The sequence below is a fragment of the Homo sapiens genome, chromosome 1, assembly GCF_000001405.40.
Source record: "Homo sapiens chromosome 1, GRCh38.p14 Primary Assembly".
NCBI classification, from domain to species: Eukaryota; Metazoa; Chordata; class Mammalia; order Primates; family Hominidae; genus Homo; species Homo sapiens.
The window spans coordinates 77,104,972-77,123,314 of NC_000001.11; the positions used below are offsets into that span (position 1 = coordinate 77,104,972).

General features: G+C 35.6%; 1 protein-coding gene across 1 annotated transcript in view; it reads right to left on the reverse strand.

The window, feature by feature from the left end:
• PIGK (phosphatidylinositol glycan anchor biosynthesis class K) overlaps positions 1 to 18,343 on the reverse strand; it is a 130,442-nt gene that overhangs the window by 15,983 nt on the left and 96,116 nt on the right. Inside the window, exon 10 of the mRNA NM_005482.3 lies at positions 17,304 to 17,388. Coding sequence (NP_005473.1) covers positions 17,304 to 17,388 — 85 coding nt within the window. The remainder of the gene's footprint in view (positions 1 to 17,303; positions 17,389 to 18,343) is intronic.

Genomic DNA, 18,343 nt, shown 5'->3' on the forward strand with positions numbered 1-18,343 from the left:
CTACTAGCGAGGGTAAAAGGCTGGTGTGAGAGCCTTTCTAGGTACCCACGCTTGGTGGGTCCTGAGCTCTTGTCTGGTGTCCAAGAAGAATAAGGTTGTGTAGACAATTGAAGGATGGTGAAGGTAGAGAATGTTATTGAGCAATGAAAACAGCTCTCAGTGGACAAGGGAGCTGGAGAGGGGACAGAAATGGCATGTCATCTTCCCTGAAGTCAGGTTATCTCTTCTTAAGTTCAGCCGTCTCCCTCGAAGTCCAGCCATCTCCCTCCCTACCAACTGAGTCTGGGGTCTTTATAAGCACAGGATGGGGGTGGGGCAGGCCATAGGTAGTTTTGGAAAAGGCAACATTCGATTGGTAAAAAGGCATTATTCAGAAAGAACCAATTGGGAGAGAGTGGGCAAACTTTGGGCCATGGGTTTCAGGCTGTTTGCTTTTTTGGCTTGAAGGTGGGGTTTCAGTGGGGACCCACCCCTATCTGCCTAGAATTTCTCGGTCTCCTGCCTCTATCAATAATAGCTGAAATTTTTCAAAATTTCATGAAAACTAGAAACTACCAGATCCCTAAAGCTCAACACCAAGCAGAAGAAACACAGAGAAAACTACACAAAGGGACAGCTTAATCAAAACACTGACAATGACAGAGAATATCTTTAAAAACAGTCAGAGAAAAAGGGATTTGTTTTTACAGAGCAGGGTTCAGTAAACTACAATACACATGATGGACATCTGTTTTTATAACTAAAGTTTTGATGTAACATAGCCATGCTCTTTCATTTACACATTATCTATTGGGGCTTTCACACTATACCAAAAATTGAGTAGTTGTAACAAACACCATGTGGCCCACAGGCCTAAAATATTTACTATTTGGCCCTTTAAGAAAAAGTTTGTAGTTCCTTGCTACAGAGAAACAAAAATAAGAATGACTGAAGCTAGGCTGTCAGAAGCCATGGAGGGCAGAAAACAACGGAAAGACATCTTTAAAGTGCTGAAAGAAAAACTAAAAATCTTAATCTTGAATTATACGGAAAATGCACCAAGTTAAAAATCCAAAAAGTACATTAAAACTATATTTTACATGGTATCAAAAGAAAACCATCAACACACCAAAAATGAATAATGCTTGTTTCCCGTTACGCAAATATTCCTAAATGGGCAAACAGTTAATGGGACAAGTTTTAAATTTACTATAACAGGATTTTGTTACTTTGCTACTTAAAAGGTAATTCCAACTCCTTGTTTTTAGGCAGAATTTCTTTAACTTCTTTAATATGGATCTCTCAAGAGAATCATCACATGCTTTCAAGTGGAAAAGGAGGACTGGCATCCTCCTTCTGAGATACATAGGCTGAAGAACAAATCATTAAGCCTCCCACTGTGCTTAAATGAAATCACTCTTGGGAGAAAATAGTTAATTTCAGTCAAATTAACTTTTTGGAACACTATTTACTTGTATTAAAAATGATCATAAACAACATTCCTTTTAAAATAAATTATCTAAAGTTTGAAAAAGTATTTTTAACAAAAGTAGTCACTTTCAGTCATGGTAATCATACAAATGTTTAACATATTTGTACAACAAAAATGAATCTTATAATTACTTTTCCCATACTCTACTTATAATGATCTTTCCCATGGATAAAGGCCCTCTATGTGGTTTACTCAATGACAATAACCTGAAACAGTCCTTTTCTGCTTCTATATACTAGTTGAAGACAGCACGCTAATGTTTATTGTCTATTATAATAATTACTTGATAATTTAGTTATACTAGATACAGCTATTTAGCACGAGGAAAATGTTTAGCATCTACATATCAATATATAATTTATACATCTCTCTCTAGCAATGTTACAGATTGAATAACACTACCCTTTAAAAGTAAACATTAATTTATTTGCGTAGAGGTGTTTATAGTATTCTCTGATGGTAGTTTGTATTTCTCTGGGATCAGTGGTGATATCCCCTTTATCATTTTTTATTGCGTCTATTTGATTCTTCTCTCTTTTCTTCTTTATTAGTCTTGCTAGAGGTCTATCAATTTTGTTGATCTTTTCAAAAAAACAGCTCCTGGATTCATTGAATTTTCGAAGGGTTTTTTGTGTCTCTATCTCCTTCAGTTCTGCTCTGATCTTAGTTATTTCTTGCCTTCTGCTAGCTTTTGAATGTGTTTACTCTTGCTTCTCTAGTTCTTTTAATTGTGATGTTAGGGTGTCCATTTTAGATCTTTCCTGCTTTCTCTTGTGGGCATTTAGTGCTATAAATTTCCCTCTACACACTGCTTTAAATGTGTCCCAGAGATTCTGGTATGTTGTGACTTTGTTCTCGTTGGTTTCGAAGAACATCTTTATTTCTGCCTTCATTTCATTATGTACCCAGTAGTCATTCAGGAGCAGGTTGTTCAGTTTCCATGTAGTTGAGCAGTTTTCAGTGAGTTTCTTAATCCTGAGTTCTAGTTTGATTGCACTGTGGTCTGAGAGACACTTAGTTATAATTTCTGTTCTTTTACATTTGCTGAGGAGTGCTTTACTTCCAACTATGTGGTCAATGTTGGAATAAGTGCGATGTGGTGCTGAGAAGAATGTATATTTTGTTGATTTGGGGTGGAGAGTTCTGTAGATGTCTATTAGGTCTGCTTGGTGCAGAGCTGAGTTCAATTCCTGGGTATCCTTGTTAACTTTCTGTCTTGTTGATCTGTCTAATGTTGACAGTGGGGTGTTAAAGTCTCCCATTATTATTGTGTGGGAGTCTAAGTCTCTTTGTAGGTCTCTAACGACTTGCTTTATGAATCTGGGTGCTCCTGTATTGGGTGCATATATATTTACGATAGTTAGCTCTTCTTGTTGAATTGATCCCTATACCATTATGTCATGGCCTTCTTTGTCTCTTTTGATCTTTGTTGGTTTAAAGTCTGTTTTATCAGAGACTAGGATTGCAATCCCTGCCTTTTTTTGTTTTCCATTTGCTTGGTAGATCTTCCTCCATCCCTTTATTTTGAGCCTATGTGAGTCTCTGCACATGAGATGGGTTTCCTGAATACAGCACACTGATGGCTCTTGACTCTTTATCCAATTTGCCAGTCTGTGTCTTTTAATTGGAGCATTTAGCCCATTTACATTTAAGGTTAATATTGTTATGTGTGAATTTGATCCTGTCACTATGATGTTAGCTGGTTATTTCGCTCGTTAGTTGATGCAGTTTCTTCTTAGCATCGATGGTCTTTATAATTTCGCATGTTTTTGCAGTGGCTGGTAGTGGTTGTTCCTCTCCATGTTTAGTGCTTCCTTCAGGAGCTCTTGAAAGGCAGGCCTGGTGGTGACAAAATCTCTCAGCATTTGCTTGTCTGTAAAGGATTTTATATCTCCTTCACTTATGAAGCTTAGTTTGGCTGCATATGAAATTCTGGGTTGAAAATTCTTTTCTTTAAGAATGTTGAATATTGGCCCCCACTCTCTTCTGGCTTGTAGAGTTTCTGCCGAGAGATCTGCTGTTAGTCTGATGGGCTTCCCTTTGTGGGTAACCCGACCTTTCTCTCTGGCTGCCCTTAACATTTTTTCCTTCATTTCAACTTTGGTGAATCTGATAAATTATGTGTCTTGGAGTTGCTCTTCTCGAGGAGTATCTTTGTGGCATTCTCTGTATTTCCTGAATTTGAATGTTGGCCTGCCTTGCTAGGCTGGGGAAGTTCTCCTGGAAAATATCCTGCAGAGTGTTTTCCAAGTTGGTTCCATTCTCCCCGTCACTTTCAGGTACACCAATCAAATGTAGGTTTGGTCTTTTTACATAGTCCCATATTTCTTGGAGGCTTTGTTCATTTCTTTCTATTCTTTTTTCTCTAAACGTCTCTTCTCGCTTCATTTTATTCATTTGATCTTCAATCACTGATACCCTTTCTTCAAGTTGATTGAATTGGCTACTGAAGCGTGTGCATTTGTCACGTAGTTCTTGTGCCATGGTTTTCAGCTCCATCAGGTCATTTAAGGACTTCTCTACATTGGTTATTCTAGTTAGCCATTCGTCTAACCTTTTTATCTAGAAGAAATGGATAAATTCCTCAACACATACACCCTCCCAAGACTAAACCAGGAAGAAGTTGAATCTCTGAATAGACCAGTAACAGGCTCTGAAATTGAGGCAATAACTAATAGCTTACCAACCAAAAAAAGTCCAGGACCAGATGGATTCACAGCCGAATTCCACCAGAGGTACAAGGAGGAGCTGGTACCGTTCCTTCTGAAACTATTCCAATTAATAGAAAAAGAGGGAATCCTCCCTAACTCATTTTATGAGGCCAGCATCATCCTGATACCAAAGCCTGGCAGAGACACAACAACAAAAGAGAATTTTAGACCAATATCCCTGATTAACATCAATGCAAAAATCCTCAATAAAATACTGGCAAACCAAATCCAGCAGCACATCAAAAAGCTTATCCACCATGATCAAGTGGGCTTCATCCCTGGGATGCAAGGCTGGTTCAATGTTCGCAAATCAATAAACGTAATCCAGCATATAAACAGAACCAAAGACAAAAACCACATGATTATCTCAATAGATGCAGAAAAGGCCTTTGACAAAATTCAACCACACTTCATGCTAAAAACTCTACATAAATTAGGTATTGATGGGATGTTATCTCAAAATAATAAGAGCTATTTATGACAAACCCACAGCCAATATCATACTGAATGGGCAAAAACTGGAAGCATTCCCTTTGAAAACTGGCACAAGACAGGGATGCCCTCTCTCACCACTCCTATTCAACATAGTGTTGGAAGTTCTGGCCAGGGCAATTAGGGAGGAGAAGGAAATAAAGGGTATTCAATTAGGAAAAGAGGAAGTCAAATTGTCCCTGTTTGCAGATGACATGATTGTATATCTAGAAAACCCCATTGTCTCAGCCCAAAATCTCCTTAGCTGATAAGCAACTTCAGCAAAGTCTCAGGATAAAAAATCAATGGGCAAAAATCACAAGCATTCTTACACACCAATAACAGACAAACAGAGAGCCAAATCATGAGTGAACTCCCATTCACAATTGCTTCAAAGAGAATAAAATACCTAGAAATCCAGCTTACAAGGGATGTGAAGGACCTCTTCAAGGAGAACTACAAACCACTGCTCAAAGAAATAAAAGAGGACACAAACAAATGGAAGACTATTCCATGCTCATGGGTAGGAAGAATCAATATCGAGAAAATGGCCATACTGCCCAAGGTAATTTATAGATTCAATGCCATCCCCATCAAGTGCCAATGACTTTCTTCACAGAATTGGAAAAAACTACTTTAAAGTTCATATGGAACCAAAAAAGAGCCCGCATTGCCAAGTCAATCCTAAGCCAAAAGAACAAAGCTGGAGGCATCACACTACCTGACTTCAAACTATACTACAAGGCTACAGTAACCAAAACAGCATGGTACTGGTACCAAAACAGAGATATAGACCAATGGAACAGAACAGAGCCCTCAGAAATAATACCACACATCTACAACCATCTGATCTTTGACAAACCTGACAAAAACAAGAACAAGGGAAAGGATTCCCTATTTAATAAATGGTGCTGGGAAAACTGGCTAGCCATATGTAGAAAGCTGAAACTGGATCCCTTCCTTACACCTTATACAAAAATTAATTCAAGATGGATTAAAGACTTACATGTTAGAACTAAACCCATAAAAACCATAGAAGAAAACCTAGGCAATACCATTCAGGACATAGGCATGGGCAAGGACTTCACGACTAAAACACCAAAAGCAATGGCAACAAAAGCAAAAATTGACAAATGGGATCTAATTAAACTAAAGAGTTTGTGCACAGCAAAAGAAACTACTATCAGAGTGAACAGGCAACCTACAGAGTGGGAGAAAATTTTTGCAATCTACTCATCTGACAAAGGGCTAATATCCAGAATCTACAAAGAACTCAAACAAATTTACAAGAAAAAAACAACCCCATCAACAAGTGGGCAAAGGATATGAACAGACACTTCTCAAAAGAAGATATTTATGCAGCCAAAAGACACATGAAAAAATGCTCATCATCACTGGCCATCAGAGAAATGCAAATCAAAACCACAATGAGATACCATCTCACACCAGTTAGAATGGCGATCATTAAAAAGTCAGGAAACAACAGGTGCTGGAGAGGATGTGGAGAAATAGGAACACTTTTACACTGTTGGTGGTACTGTAAACTAGTTCAACCATTGTGGAAGACAGTGTGGCGACTCATCAGGGATCTAGAACTAGAAATACCATTTGACCCAGCCATCCTATTACCGGGTATATACCCAAAGGATTATAAATCATGCTGCTATAAAGACACATGCACACATATGTTTATTGTGGCACTATTCACAATAGCAAAGACTTGGAACCAACCCAAATGTCCATCAATGACAGACTGGATTAAGAAAATGTGGCACATATACACCATGGAATACTATGCAGCCATAAAAAATGATGAATTCCTGTCCTTTGTAGGGACATGGATGAAGACGGAAACCATCATTCTCAGCAAACTATCGCAAGGACAAAAAACCAAACACCACATGTTCTCACTCATAGGTGGGAATTGAACAATGAGAACACTTGGACACAGGAAGGAGAACATCACACACTGGGGCCTGTTGTGGGGTGGAGGGAGGGGGGAGGGTTAGCATTAGGAGATATACCTAATGCTAAATAACGAGTTAATGGGTGCAGCACACCAACATGGCATATGTATACATATGTAACAAACCTGCACGTTGTGCACATGTACCCTAGAACTTAAAGTATAATAATAAAAAATAAAATTATAAAGAAATTTTTAAAAAGTAAACATTAATTATTTCACAAGACTAAGATATCTATTGGCATATTTTAAACTAGAAACACCTTAGTAAATCAAAACTAGGTAACATGGATACTATTCTGTCTTCGCAAAGTATTAATAGCCTTGGATATAGAATTGGTAAATAAAAAAGATACACAAAATCAAATAATTAAATACACTGATTAGGCACTGCTAAATATATATGAATGTAGATTAAATAAAATAGTCTTTTAAAGGAAAATCTGTGTTTATCTAAGAATGATCAGAAATTATAATCTGAGATAACTGACATAATACACAAGTTACCCACCAAACATGACTGGTATGATAAAATGAAAGTTAACTGTGAATGTTAAAAATCTGTAACTAAAGATATTGATTCCTTTTATATAAAATGTGACTTTTCTGACATGCATATACCAGTTTTAAAGAGAATGATAATCTTAACTCTTATCAGGAAGCACATTAAGGTGATTTCAGGTCAACTTAGATGGCAGATTAACTAACTCCTAGTTACATTATTTCAATCAGCTGCAAGTCAGTATCTAAACTACTGCCAAGAATATAGCATGAGGCTGAAGGGAACTGTGTTTTAATTTGTCTCTATCCAGTCAGTTTCTGTATTTATATGAGAAGAGATCCCCCGTTACCAGTGATACTTCTGGTAATGTTTTTGGTGGATCCCTGGATTTGAGTGATGTTAAGATAGGCATATAATAACAAATGGATAAAAGTAACAATGTATTTTCCTCACTTTTTGCTTTTATCAATTTGTTATTATATGCCTATCTTTTTCTTTCCTTTAACTAAGATGTTAACTTACCTTATTACGTTGTAAGTCAAAACCATCCCACTAGAAAAACAGGATGCATTGGGCATGAGTAATTTCATTCTATTTTCTTCACTGTATAATGCACCTTTTTTTCCCTGTACAGTTTCTCTACCTTAAAAGCAGGTACAAATATACAGCTAGAGAACCAAGAAGCACCACTTTTCCATTCCCTGGAGCTGAAAATGGCCCATTTTCTCACTTTCAGTACTGCTTACCTCAACTTCCAGAAAGTCAACATTTATTAAAAACCAACAATCCTCCAGCAAAGCATACATATGCCCCTAATACTATGGTTTACACTTCGCCCTTAAAACAAATACAGTTAGAAAAACCTAATAATATATCAGATGCTATGTGATACATTTTGGCATAAGGGACAACAGAAAAAGAAAACATTCTTCATATTTGGCATAGTTATAAAATTGCAATGAATTTTAAAGGATCAAAACTCAGTTTAGAACAGTCATTATGATTCTATCATGTCTTATTAAAATCAAAATCTACTATAAAGCATATTTAATGTCTTTAATATTTATAAAAAATTTTTAAAAGAAAAAGAAAAATTTATTACATATTATTTGTGAAGAAGCACCAAAAACTTTTCTGAAAGCCTCTTTCTTAGTAACTAAGTTGATGAAGATGTAATAGAAAGGCAGAAAAGTTAATTACTACCAAGTATCTTAATATTCAAAGCAATACAAAGGGTCAAATGTCTAATATTCTTTAGGGATGTTTGTATTCTAAATGTGATGAACCCTAAATTACTATGACTTGTGAAGATGTGTATCTGTCTAGTTGTTTTTAATTACTAATTGTTTTAGTTGTATGTAGCTAATTCTTAAGTATTCAAGGTCCACTCATAAGTTAATGCTTATCAAGGCTCTTTGACACTCATTTTTCTCACAACTTTGGACATTCCACTATGAGCTCCCCACAGTAGTGGGAAAGAGATTTAAAAAAAATAGTACAGGCAATCTTCAACCAGTGAATGAGTTATATTCTAAACATTCTCCTTATCATCAGTTTTATGGAAATTAAAAATGATTTTATTGAAAATTGCGTTATGAATGGTGGCTAGATTATCCAGATAGTTCAAAAATGCCTATTAAATTCTTAAGGCCATTGCACTACTTAAACTACATGGAACCTCAGAATAGGTGACCACATAGCAAAAACTTTCTCTTTTCAAGTGAGCCATCCATAGGCAAAATTTTAAATAAGCAAAGATAATCTTTAGCACTCTCCCCTATCATTTTTTGAACCCACATCTCTTCATATCTCTACATGTCTTAAACCCTCTTTGGGAAGTCAAGTGCAGCTGGGGTGAAGAAAGCAATTGCAAACAGCATTGAGAAGGTGACTCTCTTTAGCCCAGTATCTAAATAAATGGATACTCATTTGCTGAAGAATTTTGAACTAAATCTGTTGATATTTATTCTTCCAAAATACATTTTCAATTCATCAGAACATGAATTACACCTGTTGACACCTCCTTCATCAAAATTTTCTGGAAACAAAGCCTTTGTGAAAAAATGTTCATAAGGAGGAAGTATACCACAGTAGTTAAGAAGATAAATTTTGGAGTCAAACAGACCCAGAATCAAATACTGGCTATCCCACTTATAAGATAGAAGATCTTAGGCAAATTATTTAAACTATTCTGAACCTCAGTTAATTCATGTATAAAATGGGAACAATTTCATCAACGGTACTAGTTATTTTTGGGTGATCATTATCATTATCAACTGTAAAATATGTTTTGCACCTATTTACAGTTGTACAACAAAAATGAAAAGAAACAGATGCTTCCTCAACTATTCTTAGTTTAAAAATCTTTATAAATTTGGTGAAAACAGGTATCTGTTTCTGCTTGGGAATACTTATGACTAGTGACACAATTTCCATTTCTATTATAGAAATTTCACATATCAGAAAAGGGATGTAATGACAAATTTGTAGGTGGACCAAAAATTTTCAAACTTAAAAGTTGATGATAATTATTAAAATGTTGATTGTCATTCTCAAACAGCTTTACCCTTGCATTTATTCCTTGATAAGTGACATTTTTGGAAGTGGCTGTAATAAGTTATAATATGAAAGCTGAGGTTAATTTATATTAATTTAAAAACATATCTGATATTAAGAGATTAGCCCATGACCTTCAAAAAGTTTAGTTTTCATTACTTGCCTTATCACTTGAATAAAAATAAATGAAAAATGTATTATTTTTCACTAGACATCAGTTTTAAAGTTGCTATGGTTAGGGAAAGCGCTACAAGATTTTAAAGCAATATAAGTCAGTCCTGAGGCAGACAGAGTGCTAGGGATTCAGCATCCTTTTGATGAGTTTCCAGATATTGATAATTCAATAGGCACATTTTTTAAAACAAGGTGGCAGAGATTTCTACTTGATAGACATTTCAGTCAACCTTTAGTAAAGTTTAGCTGTAATGGGGTAGGTATTACTGTAATGGAAAAACACTAAAATGCCAAAATTGCAACAGTGGAACAACATGAAGAGTAATGATAAACAAAAACAGAAGAATTGAAAAATTACCACAATCCATGTCATATAATGTAAAGAGCTAGAATTACAGAGCCCGGGACAACATTTCAGGATGCAGAAAAGTGAGAAGAGATTCTCAACTATATATATTTTGAAATATCCCAATTACAAGAGTAAGAGGCTAATTATACAAATAAAATGTTTGTGTATGGGCAGAGACTGCAAATAATTCAAATTACCTGTATTGGTCCTCAACCTGAGGTGGTACTGTGTTCCACAGGCGGGGAGGAGTTCAGAAAAGGTGAGGGCATTTTTTTTTTTTTAGCATCACAATGACTAAGCAGTGCTATTGGCAACCAGTATTTGGAAGGAGAAGGGATGCCAAACATCCTGCGATGCACAGATCAGTCCTGCACAATGAAAGAACTGTCCCATCCAAATACCTAGAATACTCCCAAAGAGCAACAACGGACACACCAGGATACTGTATGAACTGGTTACACTGGAAAAAAATACCTCTAGGACTAAAAAGGAGTAACAAAGAACAGATGAAACAAGACTTTGCAAGATAATCTTCTATGTTTTAAGCAAGAGTCTTGCAGGAGACCCCAGTACTTCTCTCCAAGAAACTAAATCTGTAATGGATACATAGCTCTAATCTTTTGTGCAGCTTATCTTAAAAAAAGAGAATAGTAAGGTGATACTGTACCACCATCATGTACAGTGTGCAGAGGGGCATTAAAAATAGAAATCTTGCAACGTATTAATCTTATCAAAATATTAAAGGATTTGTAGGAGGTCTTGTATCTGAAATAGGGGGAACCAGAGAAAGCCTAGAAGATGGTTAAGAACACAGTGGGGAAAACAATAGATATTTCTCCACCAAGACAAGGTATTCACTGATATATAACATTTGAGTAAGTTAAAGTTTTTTAAAGCATACATGGGTTTATGGCTTTGTTTACACGGAGCCTCTGCCTTAGTGGAGGGACCTAAATTCATGAAGATAAAATTGACTCATAATGGTGACTCCCAGAATTGAATCTCTCACACATCTTTCTCTTTTTTTTTTGAGACAGAGTCTCGCTCTGTCGCCCAGGCTGGAGAGCAGTGGCACGATCTCGGCTCACTGAAAGCTCCACCTCCCGGGTTCACACCATTCTCCTGCCTCAGCCTCCCAAGTAGCTGGGACTACAGGCGCCCACCACCACGCCCGGCTAATTTTTTTTGTGTTTTTAGTAGAGACGGGGTTTCACCATGTTAGCCAGGATGGTCTCGATCTCCTGACCTCGTGATTCGCCCACCTCAGCCTCCCAAAGTGCTGGGATTACAGGCGTGAGCCACCGTGCCTGGCCGAATTTCTCACACATCTTAAACCCCAGCAGGCAAGCATCTACCAAAAGGTTTCTAAACAAGCTGTTTAAATGTGTCTCTGTGTGTGTGTGTGTGTGTGTGTGTGTGTGTGTGCGCGTGTGTGTGTGTGTGTATGCTTGCTTAATATAAGAAGCTGAGATACTAAAGATAAACTTAGTGTCACAACAGAAATAATAGTCATCAGGACCAAGAACAGAGAGACTCCTGGGATGTTTAAGTTCAGTACTTAGTTTACTGAGTTCACACCATGCTGCTGATGCCTTTCATAGCATAGTACAGTCGAGTAATCATATTAACAGTCGAGTCATCATACTTACCATCACACATTTTTGTTAAATAATTGTTTCATAATTATAACTATGTAACTATTGAGACATAAAATATTGATAATATATCTTTTCTTGTATTAACGTAACTTTTACTACTGAAACTACTAGTTGCTTCATTACCCTGTTCACTTAATTTTCTGTTGCTCTAACTAAATCTACTCAACTTTAAAACTTCTTTTAGCATGGTCAGACACATTAGATAATTTGCCACCATTCCACTGACTGCAGACACCCATCTTGGAGTCCTTCATTGTCTTGCTCCAATTTGTACTCTTTACTCTTTAAACTTCTACACAATTGTCACCTCAGGATGCACTTCACCATAAACTTGAGAATTTCACTAGCATCTCACCATGATGGCACAATCTCTTATGCCTTGGATAATTTCCCCTCAGGATTTTTGGTTTGCTCTTTCATTTAATGAATCATATCTCAAGTAGCTTCTTGACAAAGGATGAATAAGAAAAATTATCTATTGAGACTTGGAATGTCTTTCCTATTTTATGATACTTAAACCATAATTTGGAAATGAACAGAACCTTAAGTTGGAAATGATTTTCTCACATAATTTTGAAGACATCACTCCATTGCTTTCTGGTTTGACTGGTATCTTCGGGGAGGAATTCCTCAATCTTCTGCTAATAAAATATAAGCCTAAATTCCAGTGTTCTGAAAGCTAAACAGGAGGAAGACACTTTGGAGGAAGACAAGAGGGTGTTTCTCTTTGCACCCAATCTCTGAGGTGCCTGGTACCTACCTTCCCAGAGTTCTGCAGTATAAACTGGCTGGTTCTTATAGGGCTCCTGTGTGATGGAAGTTAGGGCTCAGCTTTTCCACTCTGCTAAATTGGTTATCATTTATCCAACTACTTTCCTCCTTCCAAATTGTGTTACCACTCTCATCTGTCATTCTCTTTTCCATTTTCTTTGTCTTTTGGGGTTTATCTATTTTTATGTCTTTGTTTTCATTTTAGTAGTGTTCTTCAGGAGGGTAAAGCATAAAAATATGTCTTCAACCTGTCATGCTTAACTAATTTATAAACATACTTGCAAATGTTGGTACCAATTACCACAGTGTCCTCAATTTATGCCAATTTATACTCTCCTCCAGTAGTATCACTGCCTCAGGCATCACTGAGTATTACTACTTTTCATATATTTGCTTGAAGTTAAAAAAAAATGAAACTTTCTGATAAAAATAAACAATTCTAACATCATTAATGAACATCAACATGTTTTTTATCAGTTTATTATGCTCTGCTATTTCAACTTTTGAGGCATGTCTGTGTGAGTCTATGTAAGTTCATTAGGCTGTTCAGTTTTTTGTCATTCTGTAAGAGCTCTTTATATATGAAGGTGTTAATTCCATGAGGAAAATATTTTTCCACTTTGATATCTGCCTTTTCTTTTCTTTCTTTCTTTTTGAGACAGGATCTCACTCTGTTGCCCAGGCTGGAGTACAGTGGCGTGATCGCAGCTCACTGTAACCTCAAAAACTCCTGGGCTCAGGGTATCCTCCTGCCTCATCCTCCTGAGTAGCTATGATTACAAGTGCCCATCACCATGCCTGGTTAATTTATGGTTTTTTTGTAGAGATGGGGTTTCACTCTGTTGCCCAGGCTGGTTTGCCTTTTCATTTCGATGTATAGAAATTTAACATTTTTACAAAGTCAAATATATCAATTTTCCTTTGTAGTTTTTGCCACAATTTTCATGCTTAGAAAGTTCTCATCCAAAAATTTTGCCAACATACTTTTCTAATTGTTTTGCCATTTCGCATTTTTTGCATTAAGCTTTAATCCTATTGGAATGTACTTTTCCATGTATTATGATGCAAGAACATAGTATCCCCCTCCAGTAGTTAATCAACTCTCTCAGCATAATTTATTGAATGATCTTTTAATTTCCCATTGATCTGTGATGTCACCTTTATCATTTATATAAACCATATACGTATTAGGGTATCTAGGTTTGTGATGGTTAGTACTGAGTGTCCACTTGATTGGACTGAAGGATGCAAAGTATTGTTCCTGGGTGTGTCTGTGGGGGTGTTGCTAAAGGAGATTAACATTTGAGTCAGTGGACTGTGAGAGACAGAACCACCCTACACATCAAAAGTTATTACGCATATAAATATTTCTTATCATGAATTGGAATCCATAAAGTTTGAAATTCACTCCTCCATGTGTTCCACTGATCCTCTTGTCTATTCCTTTGTCCATATAATATTTATCTGATTACAGCTGCGTTAGGCTAATATTCTGATATCCGGTAAAACCAGTGCCTCTCTTACATACTTTCTTTGGTTATTCTTGGACATTTGGTCTTCTACATAAATCATGTGGTCATTTTTTCCTAACATTAAAAAAGAAAAACTTGTTTCTACTCTAATTAGAATTGCTAAATTGGGAGAATTTACACTTATACTTTCATCATGTTGTTTATTTGGTATGTCTTTCTGTTTCTGAAACATAGTACTTTCCATGATTCTTATTATACAGGTCTATGGTTTACTTGTTAAATCTAATTGTAATTATTTTATAGTTCTCTTCACTGCTGTGACAGAAAAATTTTCCCATTTTCATTTCTGTGTGTTTACTGCAAATGCAGAGAAGCTATCAATTTTATTTAAGAAGCCAATTTTATTTGGCTATCTCATCACATTCTCTTATTAATTTTATTGTTCATAACTTGAGTCTCCTGGGTTTCCTAGGTATACAGTCATATTTTCTAGGATGGCTAGAAAAATGGTAAATAATTTGACAGCATAAAATGGTAGTAGTGAGAATCCTATCTCCTGATTGTAAAAAGCAGTTTAAATATCACACACAATAAATGAATTACTGAAATGACTGATGCTCATTCCTCTCTCTTCTGTTTCTCAAGTTTCTCCTTCTGTTTCAGCCTCTGTCCCTGCTTTGAAAGCCTCCATCTCTCCTGCAGCTTCTAAGTTGTGCTACTAGTGAGAGTCCTTGGCTTCTGGTGCCTGGGTAGTAGGGAAAAGAGGTGGTCCTGGCTTTCAACATACCATTAAAAATACGTTATCTATCCATTTATCTATACGTTATCTATCCATTTAGAGATATGTATACATAGTACAAAGCAAGATGCTAAAAGAAATATCAAGAAACTGAGACTGTCCAGAAAGATGATAAAATAGGATATATAAGACATAAAAATAAGTAACTCTATTTTAAATAGAAATGACATGAGCTCCTAAACAGGTGTAGGTAAAGTATAAGATTATTTCTCATGAAAATAGTTACAGGGGGAGATTATACACTACAATAATGCTATAATTTAGATATAGATCAAAAAGCTTTTGTGAAACTAGCTAACCTAATTATCACATGTATTACTGTTCTCTTAGGAAAAAAGTTGCATGCATTCATTTATTTATCAAGACAGGGTCTCACTCTGTCACCCAGACTGGAGTGCAGTGCCACAATCTCAGCTCACTGTAGCCTCAATCTGGATCCCAGGCCCAGGAGATAGTCCCACCTCAGCCTCCCGAGTAGGTGGGACTACAGGCACGCACCACTAAGCCCAGCTAATTTTCTGTATTACTTGTAGACATAGGGTTTTGTTATGTTGCCCGGGCTGGTCCTGAACTCCTGGGCTCAAGTGATCCATCCACCTCAGCCTCCCAAAGGGCTGGGATTATAGGCATGGGATACCACGTGCCCGGCCAAAATTTGCTTTTAAATAACGGACTTATCAGTTAATTTCTGGCAACGTAACTCTTATGTTTCTAAAAGACCAGTTGGACCGGCTAATGGTAACAGTCCTTAAGTTGTAGTACTGTCAAAAAAGGGAAATAACAAAAGGAATAAATGAAGAGTCTGCTATTAACAATGACCTGTCCTGACTATTCTTTAACTGAGAACAGAATTCATTTTATTCAATAAAAATAAAATACATAAATTCCTATTGTGTAAAATTTCTTAAAGATAGGTATTTAGTAAAATCAAGTGCTACTGAATTTTAATATAATGTTTGTAATTCAGTGTTAAAATTAACAAAGTCTCTTGTACTGCCAAAAAAATCACAATCTAAAATTTTCACCAGGGTCAAAAATTTTTTATCTTGGAATTCACACAGTGTATAACAGTCAAATGCAGCTGTTACATAAACCAGGTAGTTTATTGGTTCATCCATGCTATAAAAATATTACTGACATTTCATCTGGTCAACCATCTTAAAGGTTAATTCTTGTTTCCTCTTTCAGATTTTATTCTAGGTGAACTGTTCTGGGCAGATTCTATTTACCAATTCTGAGCAAACCACAAACTGTTTCATCGCTCACTCTTACTGTTAAGAACATATTGACTTGCTGCCTGCTCTGCTGTTTAATTCATTTATGCTGAGAGTCAGGCATGAAGACAGAATTTTAAATGTGACATTCGCAGACTGTTAGGTCATTTAAGCTCTGACAACACTAGGGAATTCCTGACATATAAACTGGACCTGATTACCAAGCACAGACGAGCTTCCCAAAGGTGTAAATTTCTGATCATTTTTTGTAATTTCTCACAGAATTGCAATATTAAATTTTAATGTCAATGAAAAATATATATAGCCAACATTTTAAAGTAAAAGCCTCTGTTTCTTTTAATAAAGTTCTAACTGGCACTTCTAATCAATACATATCAGCTAAATAAAAATTATTTTGATGGAAAAAGGCATATGGAAAAACTCACAATAACAATCAACATTCATAACAATTCTGAGAAACTCTGCCATTTAAGGGCTTTAAATATTTACTATAATATGTAAGTTTCTGAAATCTCTGCTAGGTCTAAAGGCTATAACTCTAGTCAACAGAACATTTAAAATTATTAGATTCTGGCACAGCAGGGCAGAGGTTATATGCTGTCAAATTATAGTACAAAGTCTAAGCTTACATGCTTACAACACTGCCTTCTCAATGATTACAGTTATGTAGAACGGATGATAAAATCATTATAATTGGAAATGAACAAATTGCCCACATGACATGCAGAATTATACTTTGCAAGGGTTGATGATTGGGCAGGGTAAAGGATGCAGGGCAAGATTGTTTTCTCTTTTTAGTGACTCCAAAAAATTACTCTCAATGATATTTTTGCAGCTCTTTTTCCTTGTCACTAAGTACTATACACAATGGGTCAAAATGAAAGTTTTCTGAAATTAAATTTTATAATTAAATAATGCACAAAAGATAATCCTTATTTTATCCCATATTTTATGTAAGTAAGAATTCTAGTGTTAAACAGCAAGTAGCCTTTTAATATTGTGCTTTGAATGGGACTTTCAACTGTAATAGGGGTAGTCTAAATAGGGATAGACAGCCCAGAATGCCTTTCAGCTATAGCACATTGATTCTGAAAAACCTAACAAAAGCAATTACTTCTCAGCGATTAAAAATCTTGTTTCTTTCAAAAGAATAAAATGAAATGCAAACCTGGTGTATTATCTGAGCTACAGGAAGTTGTTCAGCATATTTCAGAGGTTCCATTAGTTTCTCATCCATCTGGTCTTCCTTATAGCTGGAAAAGATAATTTAAAAACACAGAGCTAAGGCAAATACTATTTTGAAATATAGCAAATATTTAAATATGTCAAATATGAAATATAGTAAAATGCATAGATTTTTTTTGAAATAATCAGTATTTATCAATAATCTTTGAAACACTACCATTGAAAAATTTTAAATGACTATAGAAGTATTCAGACTACATTAAGTAACTATGCAATAAAATGAGCTAGCATCACTTAATGTTCTCAGATCCTGTCTTTCTCTGAGACAAAAATGTTTCAGAATTCTCTGTCCAAAAGAGGGTGTTTCTTTCATAGCACTTAAAGGTCTTCAAAACCTGGCTCCAACCAAACTCAAGCCTCATCTCCAGCAACCCTTTCTCTATTTAACAGTCTACTGTTTTAGTTATATTTAACTACTGGCCAAACCCCATTGGGACTTGCACCTCCAGGAGTCTCTCAGTTTCCCCGTGCTGTTATATCTGTTTGGACCAACCAACAATTCTCTTCTTTATTTATTCTTCTTTTTAATATATTAATTTGTTTATCGCCATCTAGGTATATTATTTTCACTTCCTTGAAGATGAAACCCATGTCTTCTTCTTTGTATATCTAATATTTATCAAAAAGACTCAAATGTTTATTGACTGAATAATAAATATATGAATAAAATGAAATAAAAATAATTCTGAGAGGTTATTTTATATAGACAATATTTCTAATATCTACATGTACAATGAGATACAAAGCTGATATAATCCATATCTAGGACAATATGAAACAGTAAATTTAAAAACTTTTCAAATGAAGAAAATGTAGTATAATGATTTTTAAAATTACTGACCCTTTCAGAAATAGCAAGTAAACATTTGATTTCAAGACAATAAAACCTAAAAACATTTAAACTTCCTTTTGCCTTTTCTGTGAATTACACATCAGCTTATCAACTTAAAAATTACTAAACTT